The sequence below is a fragment of the Homo sapiens genome, chromosome 13, assembly GCF_000001405.40.
Source record: "Homo sapiens chromosome 13, GRCh38.p14 Primary Assembly".
NCBI classification, from domain to species: Eukaryota; Metazoa; Chordata; class Mammalia; order Primates; family Hominidae; genus Homo; species Homo sapiens.
Genome location: NC_000013.11, coordinates 21082123 through 21106906, shown reverse-complemented (window position 1 = coordinate 21106906; position 24784 = coordinate 21082123). Strand labels below are relative to the sequence as shown.

The window sequence follows — 24784 nt, the reverse complement described above, 5'->3', positions numbered from 1 at the left end:
TCAGTGTTTAAATGTCCAATTGTCTCATAAAACTTTTTTAGTACATTTTTTTTTCTAATCAGGATCCAAATAAGAGCCCTATGAGTCCTGGTTGATAAGCTTCTTAATTAGTTTTTTTGTAGCAGCTTGATTGACGTATCATTTCTATTCCATAAAAGTCACCCAACTTAATTTTCTTTTAATCCATAAATTCGCCCTCTCTCTCTTTTTTTCCTCGCAAATTTTCAGATGAAGAAGCCAGGTTGTCTGTCCTGTGGAGTTTTTCGGCTCCTGGACTTTACCAACGGCAGCCTCACTTCAATGCTCACTTGGCAAGTTCCCTATATTTCCCAGAAATTGATTGAGATGCTGCGTCAGATTTAAATTTAAAACTTTTACAAAAACACTTCACCAGTGGTGGTGTGCACTTCCACACAGAACATCTGCTCGGTTTTGTGTGCTTTGTGTGTGTGTGCCATTGGGTAGATCTCACACAAGGGCGGCACGTGGTGGTACTCTCATTTTTCTGTTCTTCATTAATCAGCTGGATTACTTTGTAAATAGGAGCTGCCCCTCTGTCAGCTCTCTGATTACCCAGTAGTACAGTTCATATTGGAAGCACAGAATAAATACTTAACTGCTTTCCTTTTATTTGCTGGTTTTCAAAATTAAACGTTGGTTCCTAGCATTCTTCAAGGGTGAGCAACAAAGTTGTGGTCATCATTGTTTTTAGTCTCTTTTTGAATTCACAGATTTAGAAATTTTCAAATGTTTCCTTAGCCAGTGGCACTTTCAACTCCAGCCAGGGACTCACTGACATGGGCCTGTCAGTGTCTGATGGCTTCCCTGCCGCTTGGCACAAGGAGTTGTTCCAGGCTCATTTACACCCACTCACTCTGAACCCCAATGTGTCACAGACAAAAGAAGGCAGAGGGAAACTAATAAATAAAATTAAAAAAAAAAAAACCACAGCAGCTTAACTGGAAAAAGCACTGGAGCAGGAGTCAGAATTTCTAGGTTTAAGTTCTGACTCTCTAACCTGTTAAGTATTTCATTTTAGATAATTGGTAAACTCTCTTCCTTTTTACTTTTTTCCCATTTGTACTGTTCCAACAGCAGAAACAACACAGCAGTAATAATGATGACACCAGCCACAGTGGGGTTTTGTTGTTGTTGTTGTTGTTTTGTTTGTTTGAGACACAGCGTCTTGCTCTGTCGCCCAGGCTGGAGTGCAATGGCGTGATCTCAGCTCACTGCAACCTCTGCCTCCCGGGTTCAAGTGATTTTCCTGCCTCAGCCTCCTGAGTAGCTGGGATTACAGGCGTGTGCCACCACGCCCGGCTAATTTTTATATTTTTAGTAGAAACAGGGTTTCACCATGTTGGCCAGGCTAGTCTTGAACTCCTGACCTCAAGTGATTCGATTGTCTCGGCCTCCCAAAGTGCTGGGATTACAGGCATGAGCCACTGTGCCCGGCCCCAAATCTCCTTTTTTTTTTTTTTTTTTTTTTTGAGACAGAGTCTCGCTCTGTCCCCCAGGCTAGGTGCAGTGGCCGCGATCTCAGCTCACTGCAAGCCCCGCCTCCCGGGTTCATGCCATTCTCCTGCCTCAGCCTCCCGAGCAGCTGGGACTACAGGCGCCCGCCACCACGCCCGGCTAACTTTTTATTTTTAGTAGAGACAGGGTTTCACCGTGTTAGCCAGGATAGTCTGGATCTCCTGACCTCGTGATCCGTCCGCCTTGGCCTCCCAAAGTTCTGGGATTACAGGCGTGAGCCACTGCGCCCCGCCCAAATCTCCTTTTTAAACTATATTGGCTAGTGCCAGTGAAAATAAGACTGGTGAAGATGGATTTCTGGACATAGCACTAGAAAGCATGTAGGGAAACAGGCACACCCACAGAGTGCCGTGTGGAGGGCAAATCAGCATGACCTTCCGGAAGGTCACTAGACAACTGTAGCAAACTTTAAAAATGTACATTCTGGGCCGGGCGCTGTGGTTCATGCCTGCATCCTCTCTCTTCCTCGCACTTAAGCTACCTGGTGTGTTTGTGGATTGACTGTACTCTGTTGCCTGACTCCTCAAAGCCGAGGCCTCTGTTTGCTGCACCGCCCCTCCCTGGCCTCCAGCGCGGCACCTGCTCCATCAGAGATTTGCTGAATGGGCAAATGAGTGCACAGAGGAGTAAGTCTCTTGGTGGTAGCACCGGTGATTTTCCTTTTCTTCCTTCTAGAAGGAAGTGTGTGCTCCAGTGTGAATGTTTGTGTGACCCCAGCCCCATTCACGTGTTGAAATCCTAACCCTCAGTGTGATGGTAGCAGGAGGTGGGGCCTGTGGAAGGTGATTAGGTCATGAGGGTGGAGCCTCCATGAATAGGATTTGTGCCCTTATAAAAGAAGCCCCAAAGGGCCACAGCTTGCGAGTCGCGGCGGCAGGGTCGAGTGGGTGGCGGCAGCTGACAGGCACTCCTCTCCCGATGGCAGTGGCTGGTGCCCAGCGAGGCGGGCAGCCACCAGCTCGCGTTCCCGCGCCCCAGCTCGCGCTCCCGCGTCCCAGCCCGCGAGGCGCCAGGGCTGCGCCAGGGCATGGAAGAGGGGCTAATGGACGCGAATTAATGAGGGTACCTACCACACGTGCAGCGCTGTGTCTCGCTGAGTTTTCTGAAGTTTCCTCCAAATAGGAAGAAGACCTCGGAAGAGATATTTCAGCACCTGCAGAACATAGTGGACTTTGGCAAAAATGTCATGGAGTTTTTGGGGGAGAACTATGTTCATTGTGGGGAAGTTGTTCAGCCACCTTTAGAGTTTGTGAAACAGCTTCGTTTAAAGATACAATCTGGGCCGGGCGCGGTGGCTCACGCCTGTAATCCCAGCATTTTGGGAGGCTGAGGTGGGCGGATCACGAGGTCAGGAGTTCGAGAACAGCCTGGCCAATATGGTGAAACCCCCGCCTGTACTAAAAATATAAAAGTTAGCCGGGCGTGGTGGTGTGTGCCTGTAGTCCCAGCTACTCGGGAGGCTGAGGCAGAAGAATCGCTTGAACCCGGGAGGCAGAGATTGCAGTGAGCCGAGATTGCGCCACTGCACTCCAGCCTGGGCGACACAATGAGACTCCATCTCAAAAAAAATTAAAAAATAAAAATAAAATAAAGATACAATCTGAAAGACCAGAGTCTCACTGTGACAAGGACCTGGACACTCTCAGTGGTTACAGTATGTGCCTTCTCCATTTAACCAGACTTCAGACCTACCACTTTTCAGAGCACCATCGGCCGATTCTGTGTGTAGAGATTAAGCCAAAACGTGGGTTTATTCCTTTCTCGAGTGATGTCACGCATGACTGTCGTTACTGTGACAGACCTTTTTTTTTGGAAACCGAGTTTCGTTCTTGTTGCCCAGGTTGGAGTGCAGGCTGGAGTGCAATGGCATAATCTCGGCTCACTGCAAGCTCCGCCTCCCCAGTTCAAGCCATTCTTCTGCCTCAGCCTCCCAAGTAGCTGGGATTACAGGCACCTGCCACCACGCCCAGGTAATTTTTGTATTTTTAGTAGAGATGGGGTTTCACCATGTTGGCCAGGCTGGTCTCGAACTCCTGACCTCAAGTGATCCGCCCTCCTCGGCCTCAAGGTGCAGCAGTACTGCATCACCATGACTGCCAAGGACTGCTCCATCATGATTGCACTCTCTCCGTGTCTGCAGGATGCCAGATCTGATCAAAGGCCTGTCATCCCTTCATCAAGGCCCAGGGTTGCTTTCTCCATGTCTGTGGTGGACCTTGACCTCAAGCCCTACGAGAGCATTCCCTATCAGTATAAACTGGATGGCAAGATCATCAACTACTATTCAAAGACTGTACGTGCCAAAGACAATACCATGATGTCGACTCGGTTCAAGGAAAGTGAAGATTGCACATTAGTTCTCCACAAGATCTAACTTTTTCCCTGCAGTGTCTTTGAAACTTGAACATAGAATGTGAAGGTTGAATGATAGAGCTATTTTCTGTTGGGTTGGGTGACCTTTGGTTGTGAATGTTTTTGCTTTTAACCCCTGTTGAGGTGGGATTGCCTCTTGGAGACATGCATTTGAAGAGCACTAGAAACATCTTCCTGGAAAAGAAATGTAGGACATGAGTGCTGTGTCCCAGGAAGCTGCTCTCATTCTTAAAATGGAAGTGTCCGTTAAGCCCTGGGAAGACCTTCTGGGTAGTTCTTCCTTCCCAACCAGTGCTCGTCTCTGATTATCTAATGCGAAAAGCCTTATTCTAAGACCTAAGGTTTGATCTGCTACCACCAGACTCTTAACATAGAAAACTTGACTTGTCACATACATTTTACAGTTTGGACTTTTAAGAAAACATGGATACTACTGGAACTTTCCCCAGCTGAGTTACATGGTCACTTTTTCAGTGCAAGCCACATATCAACACAGGTTTTTAGGTGGTACCTTGCTGCAGAGCATGACCTCACAGTCATGCAGATGCCAGTTCTGAGCAATGTAGACTCAGGGTCCCTGTGGAGGTGCTGAAGCCCACAGCTCCAGGTGGGGCAGCAGGGAGTGCGAGACTCAGGTCAGGATGGACACCACTCATGCGAGCATTGACCAATTTTTTTGCTTTACGATTTTATCTTTCACATGAGGGGGAGATGAGGTGTTCTTTCCCACTGGAAATTGCTGCTGTAGAAGCTGGAGGTGGAGCTGTGACTGGCTGAGCTGCTGTGTCCGGGCAGGACAGTGTGCCCTGACAGCTCACTGCTTTCCTGACACTCCGGTGTTTGGGGTGGTTGAGGAGCTAGTTTTCTCTTCCTCCCAGACCAAGTTCCTCCCTCAGGTTTGCCTTGAAACAAGTTGCGTTTTTGGGCCCCATGGCCTCTCCCTGTCAGGCTGCCACAGGCCCTGCTTCCGGAAGGTGAACAGCTCCTGTCTGCTGCCGAGAGGTTTCTCGTTGGGGTCACCAAAGTGTGCCCGGCTGCTATGAAAAACGTTGGGAAACTTGGTTTCAGTTTTTTACTCTAGGCTAGGTTGTACAGACTGATTATTTATATCATCGTTTTGAGGGACTAGTGGAGGCTTATTGTAACATATAATATTAGTGAAACCATGGAATTATATGAAAATGATACATGAGAAATAAGGAAGCTATTTTGCTGACTGTAAATTTGGGGGGGGGGATATTTTGTGATAACTTGAGAATTATACTTGTTTGAATAAATAAAAAAAAAAAGAGGCCCCCAGAGACCCTCACTTCTTTGGCCATGTGAGGACACAGTGAGGAGAGGGCTGTCTAGGAACCAAGAAGTGGACCCTCACCAGGCATGGAATCTGCCAACCAATGCCTTGCTCTTGGACTTCCCAGCCTCCAGTAATGCCAGAAATAATTTTCTTGTGTTTATTTTGTTATAACAACCAAATGGACAAACACATACTTTCCTTCATTTTCCGAAATGTTTTACAATGATTATATATTGCCATTATAATAATTTTTTCAAGACAGAATAAAGGTACTGTTTGCCTGGGCTGCGAGAACAAAGTGCCATTGTACACGAGGTAGCTTAAACAACGTTTACTTCCCCCACAGTTCTGGAGGCTGGAAGTCCAAGATCAAAGTATGGGCAGGGTTGACTCCTGCGGCTGGGAGGGGAATCCGTTCTAGGCTTCTCCCCCAGCTTCTGGTGGTTGCTGGTAACCTTCGGTGTTGCTCAGCTTGTACAAACATCACCCTGTCTCTGCCTATCTTTGTCCAGATAGCCTCTTTTTTTTTTTTTTTTTTTTTTTTTGTTGTTGTTGTTGTTTGAGTCAGAGTCTCACTCTGTTGCCCAGGCTGGAGTGCAGTGGGGTGATCTCGGCTCACCGCAACCTCCACCCCGGGGCTCAAGCAATTCTCGTGTCTCAGCCTGCCAAGTGCGCCACCATGCCTGGCTAATTTTTTTGTATTTTTAATAGAGATGGAGTTTCACCATGTTGGTCAGGCTGGTCTCGAACTCCTGACCTCAGGTGATCTGCCTGCCTCGGCCTCCCACAGTGCTGGGATTACAGGTGTGAGCCACCGTGCCCGGCCCAAATATCCCCTTCTTATAAGGACACCAGTCATATTGGATTAACCTCATTTTTTCTTGATTACCTCTGCAAAGACCCCATTTCCAAAAGAGGTCACATTCTGAACTTACTGGACGTTAGAACTCCAACCTTTCTGGGAACACAGTTGAATCTCTAACAAAGATATTTCCTTAAATTGAGAAAAAATGATAGATTTCTGACATTTAATTGTCAGAAATGTGTGGAATTTTAACCCGTGCATGAAAATAAGACATTTCCCTGGAAACATGAACAAGTTTTCTTAAGACTGATGCTTTCACTAATGTCTAAAGCTGTCTGAGAAGATTTGGGTCACAAATTCAGGACAGCATGACAGGAAAGCACATCTTTTCAGAAGACGCTTTTCCATTTGCTTTAATTCTCCACCACTGAAGCATCCCGTGCCTGCGGGATGGGCCTCGCTTTCTCTGAGAAGAGCTGAGCCAGGTCACCACCAGAAGGGCCCTCCTGTGCCGTGGGGGCATCAAGGTGTCCAGGAAGCTGGGAGTCCTCAGCAGTCAGTACTTGTCCCTGCACCGCAGCGAGGAGAGGCTTGCTCTGGAAGAGCTACTTGACCTTATTAATGCTTTCCCAGCTAGGGCTGCTGGGAAAACTTTTCTTTTTTCCCTTAGAAGATGCTTTCATTTTCAAGAAAATGTCCTTAATATTACATATATACAGACACAGGCACACATGCCGGTATCTATCTTGAAGTTATCAATACATGCATATTATCTATTTATTTATTTTTTAGAGATGGAGTCTTCCTCTGTCACCCAGGCTGGAGTGCAGTGCCACAATCACGACACACTGTGGCTTCCAACTCCGGGGCTCAAGATCCTCCCACCTCAGCCTCCCAAGTAGCTGGGACTACTGGCACGCACCACCACGCTGGGCTTATTTTTTATTTTTATTTTTTAGACACGCGGTCTTACTTTGTTGCCAGGCTGGTCTCAAACTCTTGGCCTCAAGCAGTTCTCCCACCTCAGCCTCTCAAAGAGTTGGGTTTACAGGTATGAGCCACCGCTCGGCCTTAAATGTATAATTTTATATAATAAATAACATACATATATAACCTTTTCTACAAATATAGAATGAAACTAACTTTTGGTAATCTCCTTTTTAAAAAACTTTTCTTTTCTTTTCTTTTTTTTTGAAACGGAGTTTCGTTTTGCTGCCCAGGCTAGAGTGCAGGCAGGAGTGCAATGGCATAATCTCGGCTCACTGCAAGCTCTGCCTCCCCAGTTCAAGCCATTCTCCTGCCTCAACCTCCCAAGTAGCTGGGATTACAGGTGCCTGCCACCATGCCCAGGTAATTTTTGTATTTTTAGTAGAGATGGGGTTTCACCATGTTGGCCAGACTGGTCTTCAACTCCTGACCTCAAGTGATCTGCCCTCCTCAGCCTCCCAAAGTGCTGGGATTACAGGTGTGATTAAAAAAACTTTTCATTAGAGTATAACATACTACAAAAATAAAAATAAAAAATAAACATAATAACCTCCTTTTTACACAATATATAAAAAACATTTTGGGGGTTTTGTTTGTGTGTGTGTTTGTTTGTTTGTTTCTTTTGTTTTGTTTCAGACAGGGTCTCACTCTCACCCAGGCTGGAGTACAGTGGCACGATCTCAGCTCACTGCAACCTCCGCCTCCCACCTCAGCCTCCGGAGTAGCTGGTACCACAGGCATGCACCACCACGCCGGACTAATTTTTTGTATCTTTAGTAGAGACGGGTTTCACCATGTTGCCCAGTCTGGTATCGAACTCCTGAGCTCAAGCAATCTGCCCAACTTGGCCTCCCAAAGTGCTGGGATTACAGGCGTAAGCCACCGCACCCCTCCTAACAAGCATATTGACATGTCATTAAATCTGCTATAGCATGATGTTTTATAATTCTGTAGTATTCCACTTTGTGCACATACCACCTCTCTAGGCTTCTTCAATTGCCTAAGGTCAAACAACTTTCTGAACAGCCGCCATGAATTTCATTTCATCAGCTGGACCTGTGGCTGAAGGTCCCGTATCTTCTTCCACACCAGTGTATCCAAATTTGTGGTTCTTAGGACTACCTGTATCAGGATCACCTGGAACTCTAAACAAGCATGTAGATTTTTGGGGTTCCCACCTGAGCCTTATTGAACAAGCATGCCAGGGTTTGGGACCCAAAAATCTTTATTATAAGCAAATGTGTCTTGGAAATTCTTATGAGCATTAAAGTCCACTGGCCTTTTGGCATTTTCATGTGAGCATTCCTCCTTGGGGTCTCACCATCTGAAATGATTGAGGTGGTGTCCCACTTGCTTTCATGTTCCTCAGCAGCACCTAGATTGAAGGGTCTCTCTGTCTAATGGGAGGTTGTGTGGGAAGAGAAGCTAGGCTGTAACACCTACTGAGCATCCTTGAGCAAGCCACTTTCACGCCACAGAGCCTTAATTTTCTTATGGCAAAACCATGATGGTGAAAATAATGATCTTACAGCAATACTACAAAGACCACAGGAGAAATGTCTATGAAAGTCTCTCTGCACAACAAAACTTGCTCTAAAATATTATTCTTGTTGTTATTGTTATTACTCACAGCCCAACCCTTTCCCCTCTCCACTAAGGGGGTCCTGGTTAATGGTTGCTTCTAGACTGATGAAGTCTCATATGATAGCCACTAGCCACGTGCCACACGTGGCGTTTGTTTGCTTAAAATGTGGCTAGTCTGGATTTTATTATAGATGTGCTATAGGTTAAAATATATATCAGATTTTGAAGACTTAATACAAAAAACAGGAAGTAAATTAATACTTTTTTGGATATTGATTACATGTTGAAATGATAATTTAGGTTAAATAAAGTATATCCCTAAAATTAATCTCACTCTTTTTCTCCTTTTTAAAAAATGGCTTAATGGGCCGGGCGCAGTGGCTCACGCCTGTAATCCCAGCACTTTGGGAGGTCGAGGTGGGTGGATCACCTGAGGTCAGGAGTTCGTGACCAGCCTGGCCAACAGAGTGAAACCCCATCTCTACTAAAAATACAAAAATTTGGCTGGGCGCGGTGGCTCATGCCTGTAATCCCAGCACTTTGGGAGGCTGAGGCGAGTGGATCATTTGAGGTCAGGAGATCGAGACCAGCCTGACCAACATGGTGAAACTCCATCTCTACTAAAAATACAAAAATTAGCTGGGCATGGTGGCGGGCGCCTGTAATCCCAGCTACTCGGGAGGCTGAGGCAGGAGAATGGCTTGAACCTGGGAGGCAGAGGTTGCAGTGAGCTGAGGTCACGCCACTGCACTCCAGCCTGGGCGACAGAGCAAGACTCCGTCTCAAAAAAAAAAAAAAAAAAAAGGAGAAGGAGAAATGTGTTGACTTGAAGGAGAAATTGGTTCAAGAGAAGGAGAAATAATTGGTCCAAGAGAAAGGGTAATGTTATGATTACATGGGGAGTTTACCTAAATTTCAGGCAGCATGGCTGGCAACCCATGGAATTATAGAAAGCATTTGCCCCAAGAGTTACTAGGAGAGGGTGGAGAGAGTATACAGAGTGCCAGGCTGCATTAAGTCATTTTAAGGAAATCACAGGCTGCAGAGTAGCAAACATCACCAGGGAGCAGGGAAGGTGAGAGGCAGGCTGTGACTAAGGCCAGAGTCCAGCACATGGGCATTATCATGCCAACAGGTGTGAAGATAGCTGTAATTTACTTCATTCATTCATTCATTCATTCATTCATTCATTCAAGGCAGAGTTTCACTCTTTTGCCCAGGCTGGAGTGCAGTGGCATGATCACAGCTCACTGAAGCCTTGACCTCCTAGGTTCAAGTTATTCTCCCACCTCAGCCTCCTGAGTAGCTGGGACTACAGGCATGTACCACCATGCCTAGCTAATGTTTAAAAAATGCTTTATGGAGATGGGTCTCACTATGTTGCCCAGGATGGTCTTGAACATTTCTCCTGCCTTGGCCTCCCAAAGTGCTGGGATTATAGGAGCAAGCCACCATATCTGGCCTTGTAATTTACTTTAAAATATTTCAGTTGTCCAGGCATGGTGGCTTACTGCTGTAACCTCAACACTTTGGGAAGCTGAGGGGGGAGAATCACTTGAGCCCATAAGTTTGAGGTTACAATGAGGTATGATTGTGCTACTGCCCTCCAGCCTGGGCAACATGGCGAGACCCTGTCTTAAAAAAAAAAAAAAGGCTGGGCACGGTGGCTTATGCCTACATTCTCAGCACTTTGGGAGGCTGAGGCAGGAGGATCGCTTGAGGCAGAAGTTCAAACCTGCCATAAAGAGGTCTCTAGAATCAAAATATTTTAAAAATAAAAAACGAAATAAATAAAATACTTCAGTCAACCTTGTGATATCATGTGTGTGCCAATCGGATTCAAATTTAATTATAAGAAGTTCTAACTAACAGTGTGCTATCAGCATAAAAGGAATGAACTACAGATACACACAGTAACATGCCTGAATCTCAAAATGCAGTACGCTAAGTGAAAGAAGCTAGACCCAAAAAGCTACATGCTGTATGATTTCATTAGTATGACATTCAGGGAAAGGCAAAACTATAAAGGTAGAAAACAGATCAGTGGTTGTCAAGGGCTGAAAGTTGGGGCAGTTATTTACTACAAAGTGGCGTGATGGAACATTTTATTTATAAAGCTGTAACATTTAAATATCCTGATGACAAATGGCTTTCCAGAAAGGTAGTCCAAACCTTCAGGACTAACGTATGAGAGTGGCAGCCTCATTTGCCAGCATTAAATGTTCTTCCTTGTTTACAAAAATTACTATATTTTGTTAAATGATTCTTTTTTTTTTTTTTTTTTGAGACAGGGTCTTGTTCTGTCATCCAGGCTAGAGTACAGTGGCACTATCTTGGCTCACTGCAAGCTCTGCCTCCCAAGCTCAATCAAGTTTCCCACCTCAGCCTTCCAAGTAGCTGGGACTACAGGTGGGCATTACCACACCAGGCTGATTTCTGTATTTTTTGTAGAGATAGGGTTTCACTGTGTTGCCCAGGCTGGTCTCAAACTCCTGGGCCCAAGTGATCTGCCCACCTCGGCCTCACAAAGTACTAGGATTACAGGCATGGGACATTTTTTATCAAGGGAAATGCTGTGTGTCTTGATTTTGGTGCCTAACAGTATGTATTTGCCAAAACTCATAGAATTATATGCAAAAAAAGTGAATTTTACCATATGTAAATTATATTTCAATAAACTTTAGAAAAAGACTGCACAGTCCACTGTTAACAGATAACTTTTGGCACATTTAAATTTTAGAGTTTATTTGAGCATTCATCAATTCATGAATTGGACAGCATGAAACCATAAGCGGCTTAGCATTCCCCTGGGAGGGGTGGCAGAGGAAACCTCTATAAAGTGTTCCAGGAAGCAAGACAAAGAAAGCATATCTGATTGGTTAAAGTGTAAAGGCCCTAGTTAGAGGTTAGTTGGTGGTTTCTGATTGGTTAAGTCTCTAGTTCTCTTTCACTCTTTACATTGGGCTTCTGTTTGCTTAGTAGGAACTTAAACTGCTAAGACCCCTCCCCCCCACAATCTAATGGCCTCCCAATTAGAACATTTTTAATACCACATTTCACTGTAGGTAAATTTTACCCCAAAAAAAATCCCGGCCGGGCGCGGTGGCTCACGTCTGTAATCCCAGCACTTTGGGAGGCTGAGGCAGGTGGATCACGAGGTCAGGAGTTCAAGACCAGCCTGGCCACATGGTGAAACCCTGTCTCTACTAAAAATACAAAAATTAGCAGGGCATGATGGCGCATGCCTGTAATCCCAGCTACTCGGGAGGCTGAGGCAGGAGAATCCCTTGAACCTGGAAGGCAGAGATTGCAGTGAGCCGAGATTGCGCCACTGCACTCCAGCCTGGGCGACAAAGCAAGACTCCATCAAAAAAGAAAAAAAGACTGATGAATGGGTGGATGGAGGGATTAGTGGATAGATGTGAGATGATATAAATACAGCAAAACCAGAACCAAGGTCTGCAGTTTTCAAAGTGATGTGCAGGAACCAACAGCATCGGTATCACCTAGAAACTTACTAGAAATGCATTCTTTCCCTGCCGCTGCCGAGTCAAGCGGAGGCGGAGGCTTGGGTGAGATCAAGATTGGGCTTCACCGGTAACCCACCGCCATGGCCAAGGAAGGCATTGCTGCTGGAGGTGTAATGGACATTAATACTGCTTTACAAGAGGTGCTGAAGACCACCCTCATCCACGATGGCCTAGCACGTGGAATTCACGAAGCTGCCAAACCCTTAGACAAGGGCCAAGCCCATCTTTATGTGCTTGCATCCAACTGTGATGAGACTGTGTATGTCAAGTTGGTGGAAGCCATTTGTGCTAAACACCAAATCAACTTCATTAAGGTTGATGACAACAAGAAAGTAGGGGAATGGGTAGGTCTCTGTAAAACTGACAGAGAGGGGAAACCCCGTAAAGTGGTTGGTTGCAGTTGTGTAGTAGTTAAGGACTATGGCAAGGAATCTCAGGCCAAGGATGTCCCTCGAAGAGTACTTCAAATGCAAGAAATGAAGAAATAAATCTTTGGCTCAGAAAGAAAGAAAGAAGGAAGGAAGCTAACTAACTTACTAGAAATGCACATTTTGCCGCGTGCAGTGGCTCATTCCTCTAATCCCAGCACTTTGGGAGGCTGAGGTAGGCGGATCACTTGATCTCAGGACTTTGAAAGCAGTCTGGGCAACATGGCGAGACCCTGTCTCTACCAAAAATACAAAACATTAGCTGGGCATGGTGGTGCGGGCCTGTGGTACCAACTACTCAGGAGGCTGAGGTGGGAGGATGGCTTGAGCCTGGGGAAGCAGAGGTTGCAGGAGCCAAGATGGTGCCACTGCACTCCGGCCTGGGTGGCAGAGTGAAACTCCGTCTATCTCAAAATAATAGTAGCAATAAGAATAATAAAACTTCAAACAAAAATGCACATTTTCAGGTCAGACCCACTGAATCAGAGACTCTGGGGGAGGCCCAGCAATCTGTGTTTTGACCAGCTTTCCAGGTGATTCTGGTACTAGTTAAAATTTGAGAACTCTTGATGTAGCTGGCGGCATATTGGTGTTCATTGTCAAGTTTGCTGTTGAATTTTTGTAATAAAATGTTGGGGCAGAGAGAAGAATGCATAGTGCAGGAGTGGTCAGCTAGCATCTCATCAGAGGGAAGATCCTTTTCAGGTGGTTTTGACTGGTCCCTCTGTTCTCTGTCTCCATCAGCAACCTCAACTTCTCTAACAAGCATACTAGGTATCAAAAATGGGCTTTTATTGATGAAAATAGTGTCTTGTTATTTGGCAAGATAAATGATAGAAATAGGGCACCATTTGGTGAAATTAAAGACATTTGAGTATGGATTGGTCTCTTGCAAAGAGTGGAGAGGCCTGCAAACTGTACTTTTGGGGTCTGGCCTGAGTTGTGAGGGTTACTCAGCCCAGGGGCCAACCTTTGCATCCTAGGAATGTTGTTGCAACTACCACAGCAAGGGTCTGGACAGAGCAACAAAAGAGAGAGAGTGCTAGAACTTCTTTAAGCTTACAGAATAGGTTTTATGAACTGTTTTGTGCTTGCTTTGCTAATAAATGTCTGTCTAGTAACTATCTGTGTGTGTGTGTCTGAATTTGGGCTGAGACTTGCTTTCCTTATAAGCTGGTAGTGAGATACGGGAGAATAGGTAATCCTAATCACTTCAGAATTCTTTGGCAGTTACCATTACCTACCAAAATGAACCTAGGAGCTCTAGGATCTAGATAAGTCAATTACAACAGTAGAAAACAGATTATTTGATATCCAATTAGTTTTGGAAAATTCTTGTGGTTGCTTCACCAGAAGTTCAGCTGTTTACTGCTACTACTTTTAAAATCCGTGTTGTTGTTGTTGTTGTTGTTTTTGACACAGGGTCTCGCTCTGTCACCCAGGCTGGAGTGCAGTGGCACAATCTCAGCTCACTGCAACCTCCACCTCCTAGGCGATTCTCCTGCCTCAGCCTCCCAAGTAACTGGGATTACGGGCACCCACCACCATGCCCGGCTAATTTTTGTATTTTTAATAGAGACAGGGTCTCGCTATGTTGGCCAGGCTGGTCTCGAACTGGCCTCAAGTGATCTGCCTGCCTTGGCCTCCCAAAGTGCTGGGATTACAGGCATGAGCCACCATGCCTGTCCTAAAATCCCTTTTTAAGCATTGACTGCAAAAATATATGGCTTTGGGGGTTTTCTGTTTTGTTTTGTTTTTTTTTTAATCTGGTTAGGATTTATTAAAGCTGTCTTTTGTTAGCCAGACTTCTCCTTTTTTCCAAATTTTTGAAAAATATTTACTGATTACTCCAGAAATGTCATTGCATTTGGAAGGAAACCAAATGACCTGCCATATATTGTAATCATGCCTAATATTCACTTCTACATTAAGCCTTTTACCTTGCTGCCCCTTCATGAAAGGGACACAAGTCTAGGGATTTCTAGCTGAAATTCAGCATTCTCTTTTGTTATGAATGTAGGCAGCACATCCAAGTATATTAGCAGTACCTGTGACTTTGTCTCCCAGAGAAATCGTAGATATTTTCATATGACATTATAATTGTTGTAGTTATTCTTCAAATACCATTTATGGTTAATCTTACTTCAAAACTATGGAAGTTGCTAGATCTCCCATCAGATCCTAATGCATGAATAAAGAAATACACACACACACACATATCACTACATAACCAGATTTTTAAAATGTATGAAGATATGGTTTGGCTGTGTCCCCACCCAAATCTCATTTTGAATTGTAGTTCCCATAATCTCCATGTGTCCTGGGAGGGACCAAGTGGAGGTAATTGAATCATGGGGGTGGTTTCCCTCATTCTGTTCCTGTGATAGTGAGTTCTCACGAGATCTGATGGTTTATAAGGGGCCTCCCCCTTCGCTGGAACTCATTCTCCTTCCTGCCACCCTGTGAAGAAGGACGTTTTTTTCCCCTTTCACCGAGGTTGTAAGTTTCCTGAGGCCTCACCTGTCATGCTGAACTGTGAGTTAATTAAACCTCTTTCTTTTTTAAATTACCCAGCCTCAGGTATGTCTTTATGGGCAGCGGGAGAATGGACTAATACACATGGTCGTGGTTATTTCAATAACATTGGTTTCCTTTGTAATCATATGTATTTTATTTTATGCATTAGAAAATCTTCTGAGAAGCATCCACAGACTTCCCTGGACTGTCAAAGGGGTTCATGGCTCAGAAAAGATTCAGAATCCCTGCCTAGCCAGACTGAGAGGTGTTTTGCTGAAATTTATTTCAGAAGCATGTAAAGATTGGAAACTCCTCTTAAGGATCTGCCAGACAGACTTCAGCAATTATTTTGAATTCAGAGGAGTTGGATGAAGGGATGATGGCAAAGTGCAGGACAATGGAAAACAACAGTTGCTCAAGAAACCAGACCAGAAGAGGAGGCATCTGCCTCAGTTCTTTTCTGTCACCTCCTTCAATGTTCCACCGTGCCTCCCATCTGGACCTGGTGATTTGCTAGTATTTCGTTGTTACAGTAATATCCTTTTCTATTAAAAGAGAATAATCCTCAAATTCCTCACTTTTGGTATGAGCCTCAGTATTTTTGTGGTACCAAAACAAGAGTAGATTTTCCACAAATGTATTGCATGGTTTTCACTGAAGTTCACCTTAGCCGATCACACAGAAATGCATGATAAACTGCTCCTGGGCTGGGCAAGGTGGCTCATGCCTATAATCCCAGGTATGGGCTTCGGGAGGCCGAAGCAGGAGGGCTACTTAAGCCCAGGAGTTCCAGACCAGCTGGGGCAACATAGTGAGACCCCCATCTCATTTAATAAATAAATAAACCCTGCTTCTCCTTTGCTGGCTGTACAACCTAACTGGAAGCTTTTCCACGCTCAAGAGGAACATAATGTGTGTAATAAAAGGAAGGAGAGGGGAGGAAGAAGAGGAGAAGAAGAAGAAGGAAAGAAAAAGAGGCCGGGCGCGGTGGCTCACGCCTGTAATTCCAGCACTTTGGGAGGCCAAGGTGGGTGGATCACTTGAGATCAGGAGTTCGAGACCAGCCTGGCCAACATGGTGAAACCCCGACTCTACTAAAAATACAAAAATTAGTTGGATGTGGTGGTGGCGCCTGCAATCCCAGCTACACGGGAGGCTGAGGCAGGAGAATTGCTTGAACCTGGGAGGCAGAGGTTGCAGTGAGTCGAGATTCTGCCACTGCACTCCAGCCTGGCCGACAGAGTGAGACGCCATCTCAAAAAAAAAAAAAAAAAAAAAAAAGGGCCGGGTGCAGGGGCTCCCGCCTGTAATCCCAGCACTTTGGGAAGCCGAGGCGGGCAGATCACAAGGTCAGGAGTTCAAGACCAGCCTGGCCAAGAAACCAGCCTGGCCAATATGGTGAAACCTTGTCTCTACTAAAAATACAAAAAGTAGCCAGGAGTGGTGGTGGGCGCCTGTAATCCCAGCTACGCGGGGGGCTGAGGCAGAATTGTTTGAACTCAGGAGGCAGAGGTTGCAGTGAGTGGAGATCGCGCCGCTGCACTTCAGCCTGGGTGACAGAGTGAGATTCCAACAAAAGAAAAGAAAAGAAGAGAGAGAGAGAAAGAAAGAAAGAAAGTCCTGTTAACTTTATTAAATGCATTTTAAATTAAAGGTGCTTGCTGATTGACACCCTCTGATTAACTTTTATTTACTATAGTAAGAACATTTAACATGAGCTGTACTCTTAGCAGATTTTCAAGCATGCAATACAGTATTGTTAACCACGGGCACAATGTTGTACAGCAGATCTCTAGAACTCAGTCATCCTGCATAACTGAAACTTTATACCCTTTGAAGGGCAACTCCACATCTCCTCCTCCTGCAGCTCCTGGCAACCACCATTCTACTCTCCACTGCTTTTTTTTTTTTTGAGATGAAGTCTTGCTCTGTCACCCAGGCTGGAGTGCAGTGGCACAATCTCACCTCACTGCAACCTCCGCCTCCTGGGTTCAAGCGATTCTCCTGCCTCAGCCTCCCAAGTAGCTGGGATTACAGACACCCGCCACCGGGCCTGGCTAATTTTTATATTTTTAGTAGAGACAGGGTTTCACCATGTTGGCCAGGCTGGTCTTGAACTCCTGACCTCAGGCAATCCGCCTGCCTCCGGCTCCCAAAGTGCTGGGATTACAGGCGTGAGCCACCGTGCCCACCCCTCTACCCTCCACTTCTACAAGTTTGACCATTTTAGATCCCTCATGTTGTAGAATCATGCCACATTTATCCTTCTGTGACCAGCTTGTTTCTCTTAGCTTCATGTCCTCAAGCTTCATCCATATTGTCATACATTGCAGGATTTCCTTCTTTTTAAAGGCTGAGTGATATTGCATTGTATGTGTGGATCATACTTTATTTATCCATCCATTCATTGATGGACATCAGGTTGTTTCCACATCTTTTTGTTGTTGTTGTTTGTTTTGTTGTTTGTTTTATTTTTGAGAGAGGGGTCTTGCTATATTGCCAAGGCTGTTCTCGTCCTACTGGGTTCAAGCAATTCTCTGGTCTCAGCCTCCCGAGTAGCTGGGATGACAGGCACTGGCCACCATGCCCGGCTCTTTCTCCATCTTGGCTTTTGTGAATAGAGCTGCCATAATGTAAGAGAGCAAATATTTCTTCAAGATCCTAATTTTAACTCTTTAGGATAAATATCCAAAAGTGGAACTGCTGAGTTATATGGTGGTTCTATTTTTAATTTTTTGAGAAACTCCACATGATTTTCCATAGTGGCTACACTATTTTACATTCCCACCAAGAGTGTGGAACAGTTCCAATTTCTCCACATCCTTGCTAATACTTATCTTTTTATCTTTTAAAAAATAGACATTTTTAGCCAAGTGCTAAGGCTCAAGCCTGTAATCCCATCATTTTGCGAGGCCAAAGGAAGAGGATAGCTTGAGATCAGGAGTTCAAGATCAGCCCTGGCAACATAGTAAGACCCTGGTCTATACAAAACAAAAGAAATTAGCTGGGTGTGGTTGAGGCTGCAGTGAGCCAAGACTGCACTACTGCACTCTAGCCTGGGCAACAGAGTGAGACCCTGTCTCAAAAATTAACATAAATAAATAAATAAATAAATAAATAAATAAATAAATAATAAAATAGCCATTCTAACAGCTGCCAGGTGATATCTTACTGTAATTTTGGTTTTCATTTCCCTGATGATTAGTGATGTTGAGCATCTTTTTATGCACCTGTTGGCCATTTGTATGTCTTCTTCGGAGAAATGTCTATTCATGTTTTTCTGGCCATTTGAAAATTAGGTTATTTGTTTTTTTGTTATTGTGTTGAAGATGTTTCTTAAATATTTTTTATATTAACCCCTTATCAAATACATGGTTTGCAAATATTTTCTCCTATTCCATAGGTTGACTTTTCACTGTGTTGTTGTTGATTCCTTTGCTGCATAGAGGCTTTTTAGTTACATGTAGTTCACTTATTTAATGTTGCCTTTGTTGCCTGTGCTTTTGGTGTCATACCTCAGAAATTATTGCCAAGACCAATGTCATGAAGATTTTCCCTATGTTTTCTTCTAGAAGTTTTACAGTTTCAGGTCTAATGCTTAGTTATTTAATCCACGTTGAGTTAATATTTGTGTATGATATAAGTTAAGGGTTCAGTTTCATTCTTTTGCATGAGGATATCCAGTTTTTATAGTATCATTTATTGAAGAGACTATTATTTCCCCATTGTGTATTTTTGGCATCCTTGTTGAGAATCAGTTGATCCTATAAGGGTGGGTTTATTTACAGGCTCTCTATTCTGTTCCATTATACTATATTTATGTCACTATGCTAATACCATGCTATTTTAATAATTGTTTATCTAAAATATATTTTGAAACCAGGGAATGTGATGCCTCCAGCTTTTTTCTTCCTCAAGATTGTTTTGTCTATTCCAGATCCCTTGTGGTTTCATAGGAATTTTAGGATTTTTTTTTTCTAATTCTGTGAAAAACACTATTGGGATTTTGATAAGGATTGCATTGAATCTGTAGATTGCTTTGGGTAGTATGGACGTTTTAACAATATTAAGTCTTCTAATCCATGGTCATGAGATTTTTTTTCCCATTTATTTATGTATCCTTTAATTTCTTTAATCAATGTTTTATAGTTTTCAGTACACAAATCTTTCACCTCTTTAGTTTATTTCTATTTTATTATTTTTGATGCTATTGTAAATGGCATTGTTTTCTTAATTTCCTCTTAAAATAGATCATTGTTAGTGTATAGAAATGCAATTGATGGCCGGGTGTGGTGGCTCATGCCTATAATCCCAGCACTTTGGGAGGCCAAGGCAGGCAGATTACTTCAGGTCAGGAGTTCGAGACCAGTCTGACCAATATGGTGAAACCCCATCTCTACAAAAATACAAAAATTAGGCTGGGCATGGTGGTGTGCACCTGTAATTCCAGCTGCTCAGGAGGCTGATGCAGAAGAATCTCTTGAACTCGGCAGGCAGAGGTTGCAGGGAGCCAAGATCATGCCACTGCACTCCAGCCTGGGCGACAGAGCAAGACTATCTCAAAAAAAAATAAATGCAATTGATTCTTGTATGTCTATCTTTTATCCTTCATCTTTATAGAATTTATTAGTTCTACAGTTTTCTGTGTGTGTGTGTGTTGTGGGTGGGGGGGGGGCCTTTAGTGTTTTCTACATATAAGATTACGTCATCTGCAAACAGAGATAATTTTACCTCTTCTTTTCTAATGTGGATGCCTTTTATTTCTTTTGTGAAGTCCTAATTGCTCTGGCTAGGACTTCCAGTACTATGTTGAATAAGAGTGAGGAGAGTAGGTGTCCTTGCCTTGTGAATTTGATGTTCACTGTGGGCTTTTCATGTATGGCCATTATTATATTGAGGTAATTTCTTTTGTTCTTAATTTCTTGAAAGTGTTTATCATGAAAGGTGCTGAATTGTGGCAAATGCTTTTTCTGCCTCTGTTAAGATGACATGCGGTTTTTACTCTTCCCTCTTTTATTGTGGTATATCACATTAATTGATTTTCATGTGCTGAACTATCCTTGCATCCTAGAGACCAATTCCACTTGGTCATGGTGTATGGTCCTTTTAATGTATTGCTGTATTCAGTTTGCTAGCATTTTGTGGAGGATTTTTGCATCCCTACTCATTAGTGATATTGTTCTGTAGTTTTCTGTTTTTGTAATATCTTTGTCTGGCTTTGGTATCAGGGTAATGCTGTCCTTATAAAATGAAATTGGAAGTATTCCTTTCTCTTCAATTTTTTGGAAGAGTTTGAGAAGGTGTTTATTCTTTAAATATTTGCTAGAATTCACCAGTGAGGCCATCTGATCCAGGGCTTTACTTTGATTCCGATTCACTCTCCTTACTAGTTATAGGTCTGATCAGATTTTCTGTTTCTTCATGGTTCAGTCTTGGTAGATTGTATGTTTCTAGAAAATTCTCCACTTCTAGATTATCTAATTTGTTGGCATATAATTTTTCATAGTAGTCTCTTATGATTCTTTTCATTTCTGTGGCATCAGTTGTAATGCCTCCTCTTTCATTTCTGATTTTGAGTGTTCTCTCTTTTTTTCTAATTTAGTTTAGCTAAACATTTGTCAGTTTTGTTTACCTCTTCAAAAACCAGTTCTTAACTCTGTTATTTTTTCCATTGTTTTAAATTCTCTGTTTCATTTATTTCTGTGCTATTCTTTATTTTTGCCCTGCTTCTGACTTTGGATAGTTTGCTCTTTTTCTATTTCTTTGAGGTATAAAGTTACGTTGTTTATTTGAGATAGTTCTTCCTTTTAACATAGGCATTTATTACTAAAAACATCCCCCTTAGTACTGCTTTTGCTACATCCCATAAGTTTTGGTATGTTGTGTTTTCATTTTCTTTTTTTTTTTTTTGAGACAGAGTCTTGCCCTGTTGCCCAGGCTGGGGTGCAATGGCAGGATCTCAGCTCACTGCACCCTCTGCCTCCCAGATTCAAATGATTCTTCTGCCTCAGCCTCCTGAGTAGCTGGGATTACAGGCACGTGCCACCATGCCCAGCTAAATTTTTTTGTATTTTTAGTAGAGACAGGGTTTCACCATGTTGGCCAGGCTGGTCTTGAACTCCTGACCTCATGATCCTCCCTCCTCGGCCTCCCAAAGTGCTGGGATTATAGGCGTGAGCCACCACACCAGGCCTCATTTTTATTTGTCTCAAGATTCACCTGTTAACTTTGTGTGTCTCAAGATTAATTTTCTAATTTCCCTTTTGATTTCTTCTTTGATCCATTGGTTGTTCAGTAGTATGTTTTTGAATTTTCATACATTTGTGAATTTTCCAGTTTTCCTTTTGCTGTTGATCAATAAATCATTGTGGCTGGAAAAGATACTTGGTTTTCTTTCTTTCTTTCTTTCTTTCTTTCTTTCTTTCTTTCTTTCTTTCTTTCTTTCTTTTTCTCTTTCTTCTTCCTTCCTTCCTTTTTTCTTTTCTTTTTTTGCCAGGGTCTTGCTCTGTCTCCCAGGCTGGTGTGCAGTGGTACAATCTTGGCTCACTGCAACCTCTGCCTTCCCCACTCAAGCCATCCTCCCACCTCTGCCTCCTGAGTGGCTAGGACTACAGGTGTGTGCCACCAGGCCCATCTAATTTTTTTGTGTTTTTCATAGAGACGGGGTTTCACCATATTGATCAGGCTGGTCTTGAACTCAGGTCATCCGCCCACCTCGGCCCCCCAAAGTGCTGGGATTACAGGCATGAGCCACCACGTCCAGTCTTATTGCTATTTTTATATACTTTTTCTATACATGTTTATTCAGATCTTTATGTTTTAATTGGGTTATTTGTCTTTTTATTGTTGAGTTGTAAGATTTCTTATATATTCTGAGGACTAATCCTTACTAAATATATGATTTGCAAATATTTTCTTCCATTCTGTGCTGTCTTTGTGCTTTCTTGACACTCCTTTGATGTACAAAAGCTTTGAATTTTGATGAAGTCTAATTTATCTATGTTTTCTTTTGTTGCTTGTGCTCTTACTGTCATATCTAAGAAACATTACCAAATCCAAGATCACAAAGATTCACCCTTCTGTTTTCTTCTAAGGAGTTTTATACCTTGTGATGGTGAGTACCAAGTGCCAACTTGATTGGATTGAAGGATGCAAAGTATTGTTCCTGGGTGTGTCTGTGAAGGTGTTGCCAAAGAAGACTAACATTTGTGTCAGTGGACTGGGAAAGGCAGACCCACCCTCAATCTGGGTGGGCACAATCTAATCAGCTGCCAGCAAGGCCAGAATAAAAACAAGCAGAGGAACATGAAAAGACTAGACTGGCTTAGCCTCCCGGCCTACATCTTTCTCCCATGATGGATGCTTCCTGCCCTCGAACACTGGACTCCCAGTTCTTCAGCTTTGGAACTCAGACTGGCTTCCTTGCTCCTCAGCTTGTAGACAGCCTATTGTGAGGCCTTGTGATCGTGTGAGTTAATATTCCTTAATAAACTCCCCTGTATATATACATTTATCCTATTAGTTCTGTCCCTCTAGAGAACTCTAATACATAGCTTTAGCTCTTATGTTTAGGTCTTTGATCCATTTTGAGTTAATTTTTGTACATAGTATCAAGGAAGGATCTAACTCCATTTTTTTGCATGTGGATATGCAGTTGTCCTGGCACCATTTGTTGAAATGACTATTTTTTTCTCCAGTGAATTGTCTAGGTGCCCTTATGAAAAATCAATTGGTTGTCCAGGCACGGTGGCTCATGCCTGTAATTCCAGCACTTTGGGAGGCTGAGGCGGGCGGATCACAAAGTCAGGAGATAGAGATCATCCTGGCCAACACAGTGAAACCCCGTCTCTACTAAAAATTCACAAAATTAGCCAGGCGTGGTGGCACGCTGTAGTCCCAGCTACTCGGGAGGCTGAGGCAGGAGAACTGCTTGACCCCGGGAGGCAGAGGTTGCAGTGAGCCAAGATCACGCCACTGCACTCCAGCCTGGGCAATAGAGCAAGACTCCATCTCAAAAAAAAGAAAAATCAATTGGCAATAGATGTATGGATTTACTTGTGGACTCTTAATTTGATTCCATTGATTCTATTCTTTGTTTGTTTGTTTGTTTTTTGTTTGTTTGTTTTTTGAGACGGAGTCTTGCTTTATTGCCCAGGCTGGAGTGCAGTGGCTCGATCTCAGCTCACTGCAACCTCCATCTCCCGGGTTCAACCGATTCTCCTTGCCTCAGCCTCCCGAGTAGCTGGGATTACAGGCAGGTGCCACCACACCCGGCTAATTTTTTGTATTTTTAGCAGAGACAGGGTTTCACCCTGTTAGGCAGGATGGTCTTGATCTCCTGACCTCGTGATCTGCCCGCCTCGGCCTCCCAAAGTGATGAGATTACAGGCGTGAGCCACTGCACCTGGCCCATTGATTCTATTCTTATGCCAGTATCATACTATCTTGATTACTGTAGTTTCGTAGTAGAGTTTGAAATTAATAATTCAACTTTTTTTCTTCAAGATTGTTTTAGCTATTCTGGTCCCTTGCAATTCCATATGAATTTTAAGGCCAGCTTATCCATTTCCATAATTCAAAATTTGGAATTTTGATTGGGTTGCATTGAATCTGTAGATCAATTTTGGAATTACTTTCATTGTAACAATATTAAATTATTCAATCCATGAACAAAGATGTATTTCCATTTATTTAGGTCTATGTACTTTAATTTCTTTCAAAAACGTTTTGCAGTTTTCAGTGTACAAGTCTCATGCCTCTTGCTTTAATTTATCCCTAAGTATTTTACTCTTTTTGATGTTATCAGGTGGATTTTTTTATTAATTTTATTTTCAGATTTGCTATGGTTTGGATGTGGTTTGTCCCTACCAAAATTCATGTTGAAATTTGATTCCCAATGTGGCGATGTTGGGAGGTGAGGCCTAGTGGAAAGTGTTTAAATAATGGGGGAAGATCCCTCAGGAATAGTCTAAGGCCAGCTTATGGGAGTGAGGGAGTTCTTGCTTTCTCAGGAATGGATTCATTCTTATGAGACCAGGTTGTTATAAAATGAGGTTTCTTCTCCTGTTTGGTCCCTTTTCCATACAAACCTCCTCTCCCTTTGACTTTCTACCATGTTACGGTGCAGCAGAAAAGTCATCACAAGAAGCCAGTGCCATACCCCTGAACTTTCCAGCCTGCAGAATCATAAGCTAAATAAACCTCTTTTCTTTATAAATTACCCAGTCTCAGTTATTCTGATATAGCAACATAAAATGGACTAAGATGAGATTGCTCCACTGCTAGTGTATAGAAATACCATTGATTTTTACTTATTGCCTTTCTATCCTGCTACTGGACTCATTTATTAGGTCTAATAGTTTTGTGTGTGTACATGTGTATTATTTAGGTTTTCTATGGAGAAGATCATGTCACATGAAATCAATATAATTTTACTTCTTCCTTTCTAATCTGGATACCTTTTATTTTTTAATGTCCTTATTTTTTAGAAATAAATACTGAAATACAGACAAAAATGATATCTGAGATTTGCTTCAGAATAATGGGGCAGTGGAGGCAGGCAAGAATCATCAGTTGTTAATTGTTGAAGCAGGGTGATGGGCATGTGGGTTCATAATATTAATCTCTTTACTTTTGTGAATGCTTTGAAATTTCCACTAAAGGCCAGATGTGGTAGCTCATGCCTGTAATTCCAGCACTTTGGGAGGCTGAGGCGGGCGGATGCCCT

General features: G+C 43.2%; 2 pseudogenes, besides 1 other annotated feature; both read left to right on the top strand.

The window, feature by feature from the left end:
• IPPKP1 (inositol 1,3,4,5,6-pentakisphosphate 2-kinase pseudogene 1) lies at window positions 2400–4201 on the top strand (annotated as a pseudogene).
• Window positions 4694–4861: a silencer, noted in NCBI's record as "fragment chr13:21676185-21676352 (GRCh37/hg19 assembly coordinates)". NCBI's record gives its function as "represses an EF-1alpha promoter that drives an FKBP-Casp9 reporter gene in an ReSE screen in phorbol 12-myristate 13-acetate-treated (for megakaryocytic differentiation) K562 erythroleukemia cells {active_cell/tissue: K562(+PMA)}" and the evidence as "EXISTENCE:reporter gene assay evidence [ECO:0000049][PMID:32094911]".
• On the top strand, window positions 12112–12612 carry RPS12P23 (ribosomal protein S12 pseudogene 23; annotated as a pseudogene).